The 7423-nt window shown below is 67.2% G+C and overlaps 2 protein-coding genes and 1 long non-coding RNA gene across 14 annotated transcripts in view, besides 5 other annotated features; 1 reads left to right on the top strand and 2 right to left on the bottom strand.

Moving 5' to 3' along the window:
• SLC33A2 (solute carrier family 33 member 2) lies at positions 75-2218 on the bottom strand. Of its 4 annotated transcripts, none has more exons than NM_138431.3 (5): positions 1273-2218; positions 781-928; positions 566-690; positions 385-494; positions 75-297 (listed from the first exon to the last, which is right to left on the bottom strand). In NM_138431.3, the coding sequence occupies exons 1-5, from the start codon at positions 1952-1954 to the stop codon at positions 124-126; spliced, it is 1239 nt and encodes a 412-aa protein (NP_612440.1). In that variant the 5' UTR covers positions 1955-2218; the 3' UTR covers positions 75-123. The 4 variants fall into 4 exon arrangements, 3 of the variants coding, with proteins under 3 accessions (NP_612440.1, XP_011515108.1, XP_016868494.1); XM_011516806.3 differs by having other exon boundaries at positions 781-920; NR_130120.2 differs by lacking the exon at positions 781-928.
• Positions 803-1426: an enhancer, noted in NCBI's record as "H3K4me1 hESC enhancer chr8:145735245-145735868 (GRCh37/hg19 assembly coordinates)". NCBI's record gives its function as "activates a minimal SCP1, AML or CMV promoter by ChIP-STARR-seq in naive H9 embryonic stem cells {active_cell/tissue: H9 hESC(naive)}" and the evidence as "EXISTENCE:reporter gene assay evidence [ECO:0000049][PMID:30033119]".
• Positions 1958-2667: a silencer, noted in NCBI's record as "silent region_19698". NCBI's record gives its function as "represses an Ori minimal core promoter by ATAC-STARR-seq in GM12878 lymphoblastoid cells {active_cell/tissue: GM12878}" and the evidence as "EXISTENCE:reporter gene assay evidence [ECO:0000049][PMID:35858748]".
• Positions 3168-3297: an enhancer, noted in NCBI's record as "active region_28101". NCBI's record gives its function as "activates an Ori minimal core promoter by ATAC-STARR-seq in GM12878 lymphoblastoid cells {active_cell/tissue: GM12878}" and the evidence as "EXISTENCE:reporter gene assay evidence [ECO:0000049][PMID:35858748]".
• Positions 3608-3737: an enhancer, noted in NCBI's record as "active region_28100". NCBI's record gives its function as "activates an Ori minimal core promoter by ATAC-STARR-seq in GM12878 lymphoblastoid cells {active_cell/tissue: GM12878}" and the evidence as "EXISTENCE:reporter gene assay evidence [ECO:0000049][PMID:35858748]".
• GPT (glutamic--pyruvic transaminase) overlaps positions 4116-7423 on the bottom strand; it is a 4105-nt gene continuing 797 nt past the window's right edge. Inside the window, exons 2-12 of one of the 5 annotated variants that reach the window (NM_001382665.1) lie at positions 6822-7146; positions 6595-6684; positions 6409-6517; positions 6157-6290; positions 5799-6042; positions 5361-5440; positions 5157-5293; positions 4882-5056; positions 4632-4787; positions 4445-4557; positions 4116-4378 (exon numbers count right to left, since the gene is read on the bottom strand). In NM_001382665.1, coding sequence (NP_001369594.1) covers positions 4288-4378; positions 4445-4557; positions 4632-4787; positions 4882-5056; positions 5157-5293; positions 5361-5440; positions 5799-6042; positions 6157-6290; positions 6409-6517; positions 6595-6684; positions 6822-6983 — 1491 coding nt within the window. In that variant the 5' untranslated portion in view covers positions 6984-7146 and the 3' untranslated portion in view covers positions 4116-4287. Of the gene's footprint in view, positions 4379-4444; positions 4558-4631; positions 4788-4881; positions 5057-5156; positions 5294-5360; positions 5441-5798; positions 6043-6156; positions 6291-6408; positions 6518-6594; positions 6685-6821; positions 7149-7423 lie in introns of those variants that run through there. The other 4 variants (NM_001382664.1, NM_005309.3, NR_168476.1 and 1 more) reach the window with 4 other exon arrangements.
• The window catches only part of LOC101928953 (uncharacterized), an 11385-nt gene continuing 9775 nt past the window's right edge, over positions 5814-7423 (top strand). For 4 of the 5 annotated variants that reach the window (XR_007061148.1, XR_007061147.1, XR_007061150.1 and 1 more), the window contains exons 1-2: positions 5840-5916; positions 6122-6323. This is a non-coding gene — a long non-coding RNA (uncharacterized LOC101928953). Of the gene's footprint in view, positions 5917-6121; positions 6324-7423 lie in introns of all 5 variants that reach the window. The other variant, XR_007061149.1, reaches the window with a different exon arrangement.
• Positions 6840-7423: part of an enhancer, noted in NCBI's record as "H3K4me1 hESC enhancer chr8:145729171-145729831 (GRCh37/hg19 assembly coordinates)", that runs on past the window's edge. NCBI's record gives its function as "activates a minimal SCP1, AML or CMV promoter by ChIP-STARR-seq in naive H9 embryonic stem cells {active_cell/tissue: H9 hESC(naive)}" and the evidence as "EXISTENCE:reporter gene assay evidence [ECO:0000049][PMID:30033119]".

Genomic DNA, 7423 nt, shown 5'->3' with positions numbered 1-7423 from the left:
TGGGCCCTCTTGGCCAATGAGGCAACCCCCACAAGCTGGGGACAAGCACATCACATATTCCAGGCACAGAGACATCTGGGCCACAGGCACATGTGGCTTTATTGACCACTCCAGCCACTCAGCTCAGAGAAAGGTGCTGGGTGCTAGGTCCAGGTACAGAACGGGAAAGGCAGAGAGGATGAGCAGGAGCAAGAAGCAGGGATGTGGCCCCAACCCATCAGCCAGGCCTCCGGCCAGAGTGCCCAGCAGCAGCTTCCCCAGCAGCTCCAGCGTGGCCAGAAGGCTGTAGTGTGTGGCCTGAGGGGGGTGGGGGTCACGGTCAAGGTCAGGCCCACACAGCCCCAGCCCCGTGGTCTCTCTTGTGTCCCTGCTACATCTACTCACCTGCAGGGCCCTGGGGGCCAGCTGGCTGCAGCGCATCATCCCAGTGAAGGTGACTGTGGTGACCAGGCCTCCCAAGAAGTGCTGCAGACATAGGCTCAGCAAGGCTGACCCTGGGAGGGCAGAAGTCAGCAGTGCCCCAGGCTCCTGGCCCCTCTCTTCCTCCTCAAGGCCAGCCCCTCACCTCTCAAGATTGTGCCAGCGTCCATGCTGGCCCCCAGGGTGTCCAGGTGGAAGACCAAGGCAGTCTGACAGGCTAGGCCCCCGAGGCGGAAGCGCAGCACCGACCTCAACAGAGGCAGCAGTTTCCTGGGATGGGGGTGGGAAATGGGTCAGTATAGTGGATTGGGGGCAGCTCAGGTACAAGTGGGTGGGCAGGGTACACTGGGGAGGGCTCACCAGTGCTTGGCCAGCAAGGTCCCACCCAGGGAGGAGCCAGCGATGGAGCAGACCACAGCACCCACACCATTCCACAGTCCCAACTCGGGAGCAGAAACGCCGTGGTCCAGCAGGAGAAGAGGAAACAGGCTGCTGGCACCCTGCTCACCTTGGGTGGTGGGGGGGGCATGAGCACGGGAGGTTCCATATCTGCCCCCACCTCCCTTCTCCCCACCTGGGCCCTCAGTCCTGCCCTGCTCTCCTCAGTGTTCCAGAGCTGCAGATACTGGGGGAGAAGTGGGGCAGCCCGAGAGAGCGCTCAGGGATGGGGCTAGAGCTGGGGGCGGACAAGACACAAGGCCCAGCTGCAGAGCCCCGGATGTCAGGGCCAAGTCTTGCAGGTCATACCCCAGAAAGAGCGTGGCCCTGTAATGGGTTGCAAGCCCCTGGGGACACACCTGGAGCTGTCCCGGAAGCCCCAACTGCTGTTGCCTGGCTCGAGGCCTCACTCACCCAGCTTGTAGGTGAGCACAAAGCCTGCCGTCCACACGGTCCCCGGCACGGCTAGCACGTCCCGCAGAAGGTGCGCGGTGTGGGGACGCTGCTCGGAAGGGGGCTGCTGTGGGAGCCGCCGCAGGGCTGGTGCAGCCCAGGCCAGGGCCGCGGCCAGCCAGTAGGTGGCAGCCAGGAGCAGAAAGAGTTGCGGCCACGAGAAGGTGGGCAGCAGCGCCAGCAGCGCGCCCCCAGCTAGCGCGGCCCCCAGCTTGTACGCGACCACCTGCACGGTATTGCCCGGCCCCAGTTCGGCCGGCTCCAGCAGCTGCACAGCCAGCGCGTCCAGGGCCACATCCTGCATGGCGGCACCCAGGTTCAACAACAGCAGCAACCCCGCCACAGCGGCGGGCAGCCCGGCCTGGCCAGCTCCAGGAGGGGGCAGCCCGGCAAGCAGCCCACACACCAGGCCCAGGCCCGCCGTGCTGCGCGTCACCCAGGCCCTCGCCGAGCCCTGCGCGTCCACCAGCGGGGCCCAAGCCAGCTTGAGCAGCCACGGAGCGTACAGAACCTTGGCCAGCCCCACGCGCGTCAGCGAGAGGCCGCCGGCACGCAGCAGCACTGGCAGGAGGCCGGACTGGAGCCCGTAGGGCAGGCCCTGCACCAGGTAGAGGCCGGCCAGCGGCAGCAACTTCCCGCGCATGGCGGCTCAGGCCGGCTGCGAGGCTGGGAGGTCGGGTTCCAGGTGGGGTCCCGCAAGGCGAGGTCCCCTCCGCGTGGGGTCAGAGGCCACACCCCGGCATGGCTTTGGTTCTGGGACCGGGCAGAGTCAGCGTCGTACAGGCTAGGGTCTGGACACGTGCTCTCGGGCTTTAGGAGCATCAACACCCCAGAAGAACCGAAGTCGGGTCCAAACGGGGGCGAGCGGTCCGGACACCGGCGGCCGGCGGCTCCCGGCATGCTCTGCGCGGCCGCAGGGAAGGGGGCGGGGCCACTGCCTCCCGGGGCTCCCACCATGCTCTGCGATACCGCAGGTGAGGGGAGCGGGGCCACTGCCTCCCGCGGCTCCCAGCATGCTCTGCGAGGCCGCAGGTAAAGAGGGCGGGGCCGCTGCCTCCCGGGGCCCTCGGCCCGCGCCCAGCACTGCCGGCCGGGCCGGACTCTCAGCAGTTTCTCGGCCCCCTGGAGCCACAGAGCGGAGCACGGACCACACGGCGTCGCTGGAGCCCCGCGGCCACCGGCTCCAGGGCCGGAAGGTCGCGCGGGCCACAGAGACCGCAACGGGCCAGAGCGTCAGCTCGCGGGCGCCCCCGGTGGCCAGTCCGGGCTCGGGCCCGCGGCCCCCCGCCCCGCCACGTGCGCGCTCCCACCGAGGTCCTGCGCGGGTGAGAGGCCCAGAGGGGGAAGCTACAGAGCTGGGCCGGCCTCGAATGTAAGGATCGGCCTGCGCCCACGGCCAGCCCTGGCCCCTCTCAGTAGTTTCGGATCCGCTCCAGGCGTGCTTCCTTCCTGGTGTCAGCCGAAGCGTGGTTGCTGCAGTGCCCAGCCCCCGCTTCTCCAGCCGCCCGCATGAAGGCGTCCGTTTCTTAAGGGTTCCGCCGTCTACCACTGGATACTTCCGGTGCGGACCCCAACCTTGCTGTGTCTGTGGCTTCAGCTCCTCCGTAAGGCGGTGACAGAGCCATGGAAGTTAGGAGGGAAGTGTGAAAGGTCAGGACCCAGCTTAGCTCAGAAGGACACCGCCAGCCACTGCCCGTGACGCCCTTCGGTGTCCGGTGACAAGGCTAGGAGCACCCTGCCTGATTCGAGCCCGCCCTGCCAAGGGAGGGGCCCACCTGCTGTGTCTCCTGCCCAGAGCTGTGCCCTCTGGGGCTCCCGAGGGCCAGATGAGGCTGTGAAGTGTGTGTGGCCTGTGGTTAAGAACCATCTCCAGAGCGAAAAAAACCAGGTGCCCTTGGCCAGTCCTATCTCCCAAGTTTGTGAGTCTCTAAAGCCAGCCCTGTCCTTGGCGGACTTGAGGGCACTGGACCCAACGCATTTTTCTGGCTGCCGAGGCCTCTGAGGGGGTTTCTTGTCAGCTCAGCAGGTTTTTGGGTTGCAGGTTTCCACGTCTATCAAATGGGGACTATCATGCCTACTTCAGAAGAGCATCTGTGCAGATTGAGTGACCCCCCAGCAGTGTCTGCATGTAGTAGGTGCTCAGCCATGCTCCCCAGGCCAGGACACAGCGCTGCCCACTCCCGCTCAGCCCAGCCCCTGCCTCCTCCAGCCCCAGCCCTCCCCTGGGACGCTCCCTTATCCTCTCCCTCTGCCTCCCACTCCACCCAGCCGAAGGACTGCACCACACAATGACACCAAAGGTGGTCTCTGGCCCCCCAGACAGTGGCCCCACCCCTGCTTCCTTGGGTAAGAGAACCAAGACTTCCTTCCTGAGCTGTCAGTCACCCTGACCAGCCAGCACCATGCTGGTTTAGTATTTCCCCCTGCCCCAGGGAAGACATGGACCTCACAGGAAAGGGAGCCAGGAAGGAGGCAGTTCACTGTGCCTTCCTCAGGAAAGGCTGTGTTTCTTCGGGTGGCCACCTGGGCCCCTGGCTCCCTAGATTCTTGGGGGCTTCCACAAAGGGGTGTGGGGCCTGCGCTTTCCTCACACTCTGGACCCTCTCAACCCATTTCTGTGTGATCTGACGGGCTCTGCCCCACAACCAGAGGCCAGAGGGAAGACCCAGCCTATGGTGGGCACGGGGTCTTCAGGAGGAAGAGGTGGGTGGTGGCCGTGGAAGGTCCCTTCTCTGAAGGGACTCAGGCCTGCAAGAAGGGTAGGCAGGTGGGAGCGGGCCACGCAGCTGCCAACGCTTCCTCCCTGGAGTCAGACTGCCACACAGCTTTATTAGGGACCTGCAGAGAGGCAGGGGCCCAGCACCCCCCCCACCCCACCCCGCCAGGCATCAAGAGCAAGTACAGTGGGCTCCAGAGCCTCCCAGGGCTCCTGAGCACACAGTCCAGGGCGACCCAGCCTGGCCCCAGCTGGGGTGCTCAGGAGTACTCGAGGGTGAACTTGGCATGGAACCTGCTCAGCTTCTCCAGCAGCAGCCGCAGTTTCTCCAAGGGGGGCAGAATGGTCATCCTGAAAGGAGTTGACAGTGAGTGAAGGGCCAGGGTGGCGGGACAGGGAGTGAGGGCCAGGCCTCACCGGAAGTGGTAGGTGCCTTCCCGCTGCCCAAAGCCGCTCCCTGGCACCACGCAGATGCCGGTCTCCTCCAGGAGGCGCAGGCAGAAGAACATATCGGGGGCCAGGCCCAGCTCCTGTGGACGGAGAGCCGTCAGAGAGGGATGCCCGGCCCCCCCTGCCCACCCCGCAGGCCCCGCCCCCGCCTGACCTGAGCGCGCTCCACCGCCCGCGGGGGCAGCTGCACGCGCGGGAAGGAGTACATGGCGCCCTGCACTGGGTTGCAGCTGATGCCAGGAGCCTCATTGAAGACCTGCTCGGTGAGCTTGGCCTTGGCCGCCAGCTCTGCCAGCACTGCCTGCTTCTCCTGTGGCCGCGGAGGGAGGGCCCATCAGGGCACGGCACTCGGCATCCCCCACCCCTGATTAGGTCACCTGGACCCCCTCCTGCCCCCAACTCACAGCCTGGAACTGCGCAAAGGAGGGGTCGGTGGGCGCGGGCGGGCTGACCACCAGGTCCAGCAGGGCCTGTCCTGGCACCGGCGGGCACAGCCGCACACTCATCAGCTTCAGCATCTGCTGCTGCACTGCAGCGTCCATGTTCACCACCTCCACATAGCCGCCGCGGAACCCGCACCTGCGCACGGCCAGGTCAGGTGCGGAGGAGGGGGTGGCCCATCGGGCGAGGAGGGCCTGGCCATGGCCCGCGAGCCCCCACCCGCCTCGTACGCACGCACTCGCCCATGTAGCCCTTGGAGGTGGAGTGGAAGGAGGCAAGCTCCTGCTGCCCGGCGTAGGGCGGCCCCATCTCCATGAGCACCTTCTTGAATGAGTGGAACTGCGAACCCGCGGCGTACACGTTGTCCTGGTACACCTGGAAGGGCGCAAGGCGTCACGGGGGCGGACTGTTGCCCGGCTTCCCGCTCCCCCGCGCCGCGCACCTCGTCCGCCAGCAGAAAGAGCCGCTCTTCGAAGGCGAAGCGGATCACGGCCTCGATGCACTCGCGGGTCTGCACCTGCCCTGGGGTGCCGGGGAGGCAGCAGTGCTGGGTGAGCCAAGGGGGCGCACTGCCCTCCGCTGGGCAGCCGGGGTCCAGCGGACCCGGCACTGCCTGGGCCAGGGCGCACGTGGGTGCGGGAGGAGTGGGGCGGGGCGGCGGGGAACGCACCGTGGGCGCGGAGGGAGTGGGGCGGGGCGGCGGGGAACGCACCGTGGGCGCGGGGGGAGTGGGGCGGGGCGGCGGGGAACGCACCGTGGGCGCGGGGGGAGTGGGGCGGGGCGGCGGGGAACGCACCGTGGGCGCGGGGGGAGTGGGGCGGGGCGGCGGGGAACGCAACGTGGGCGCGGGGGGAGTGGGGCGGGGCGGCGGGGAACGCACCGGTGGGGTTGCCAGGGTTGATGACACAGAGCGCACGAGGGCGGCAGTGGTCACGCGCCTGGCCCAGTGCACGGTGAAGCTCGGCCACGTCCAGCGCCCAGGCACGCTCCTCGTCCAGGTAGTAATCCACCTGCACTGCGCCCAGCTCTGCCAGCGTGGCCGAGTAGAGTGGGTACTGGGGGATGGGGATGAGCACACCCGTGCGTGTGTGGCCCTCGCCGGCCACCAGCAGCTTCAGCACCGTCTGCGGAAAGGAAGGGGAAGGCAGGGTTGGCGAGGCCTGGGGCCGCACCTGTCCCCCACCCTGGGCGCCCCCTCTGCAGTGTCAGGAATGTCTTGGTGCCCATGCCCAGCCTACCACGATGGCATCGCTGGCCCCTGTGGACAGGAAGACGTTGTTGGGGTCCGCAGGGATGCCTCCGTCACGCCTCTCAATGTACCGCGCCACGTCCTCCCGGATCAGCTGGATGCCGGAGCTGACGCTGTAGGCCCCTGGACTCGGGCAGGACAGGATGGGAAGTACAGGTGAAGTTCTCCTCAGCCCTCCCAAGGGACTTCCCTCCTCCAGTGGCAGGGCGGCCCTCTGCTTCCTCCTGGCCCTGGCTCTCACCCAGACTGTGGCCCCCACACGCCTGCAAGATGCGCTCCGCCCTTTTCTTGGCATCGTCAGGGAAGTTGGGGCTGCTCAGAAGATCAGGGTTAACACAGAGGGCCAAGACCTGGGAAGACGGAGTGCTGAGGCCAGGGCACATGGGCTGGGGGTGGGGGGGTGCTCCGGGCAGTGCAGGAGCCTCACCTGGCGCAGGAAGGTGATGGGCCTCTGCCCCATAGCCTGTGCGTCCCCGATGTTGGCACGGATGACCTCGGTGAAAGGCTTCTTCACACCCTGGGAGGGGAGGGGAGCAGGCAGGGAGACTGTGCCCTACCTAACCCCTCAGCCCTTGTCCCATGTGCCAGTGGGGCTGGGGCCAACTCGGCCACCCCATTGTGACCTGGAGGGCAGCGAGGGGCCCTGGGCCATACCTGGCGCAGCTCCTGCTCCAGCTCCAAGGCTCGCTGCACTATGGGGCCACGCACTGCGTACTCCACTCTCCGCACACGCGGGTTCATGCCGTCCAGCGTCAGCACCTTCGCCCTCAGTCCATGCCTCACCGCCTGGCTCCGGTCACCTGTGCTCGAGGCCATGACTCTACCCAGACCAGGCGGGAAGGCAGCTCAGGAGGTGGCAGGACCAGAAGTGGGAATGGCGACAGCTGGGTCTGGCTTAGTGGGCCAGGGCTGGGAGGGGGCAGCCGTAGCAGAGGGAACTCCAGGCAAGAGAGCACCCTCTTCACCGCAGCTGGCCTCACTGGGAGGGACAGAAAGGGCTGAAGGAGCTGGGGACAGTTGGGCCCCGCCCCACCCGTCTGGGAACAGCTCTGCCCCAGGGAGGCAGAGGCAGTGGGTGAGGTGGCAGGCGGGGCTTGGGGCAAGGCCCAGTGCCTGCCTAGTGTCCCCACGAAGGGAGAGCAGGAGACCCACATGGGGGGTAGGTACAGACGTCAGTCCGGACAGCTCTGAGGGACTAGACATGGGGGGAGGGGGAGAGGGCTGAGCACCTGGGGTGCTCAGGAGGTGAAGGGGTG

The sequence above is a fragment of the Homo sapiens genome, chromosome 8 (assembly GCF_000001405.40).
Source record: "Homo sapiens chromosome 8, GRCh38.p14 Primary Assembly".
In the NCBI taxonomy this organism is placed as follows: domain Eukaryota; kingdom Metazoa; phylum Chordata; class Mammalia; order Primates; family Hominidae; genus Homo; species Homo sapiens.
This window is presented reverse-complemented; position numbering and strand designations above follow the sequence as displayed.

What these genes read in the sequence shown, in the direction of transcription:
- SLC33A2 (XM_017013005.2), bottom strand. Translation starts at nt 1,954, where the DNA reads ATGCGCGGGAAGTTGCTGCCGCTGGCCGGCCTCTACCTGGTGCAGGGC. An exon ending in TGTGCTCACCTACAAGCTGG is followed by an intron (nt 929 to 1,272) that starts GTGAGTGAGGCC and finishes CCACCACCCAAG; the next exon opens with GTGAGCAGGGTGCCAGCAGC. An exon ending in ACCTTGCTGGCCAAGCACTG is followed by an intron (nt 691 to 780) that starts GTGAGCCCTCCC and finishes CCCCCATCCCAG; the next exon opens with GAAACTGCTGCCTCTGTTGA.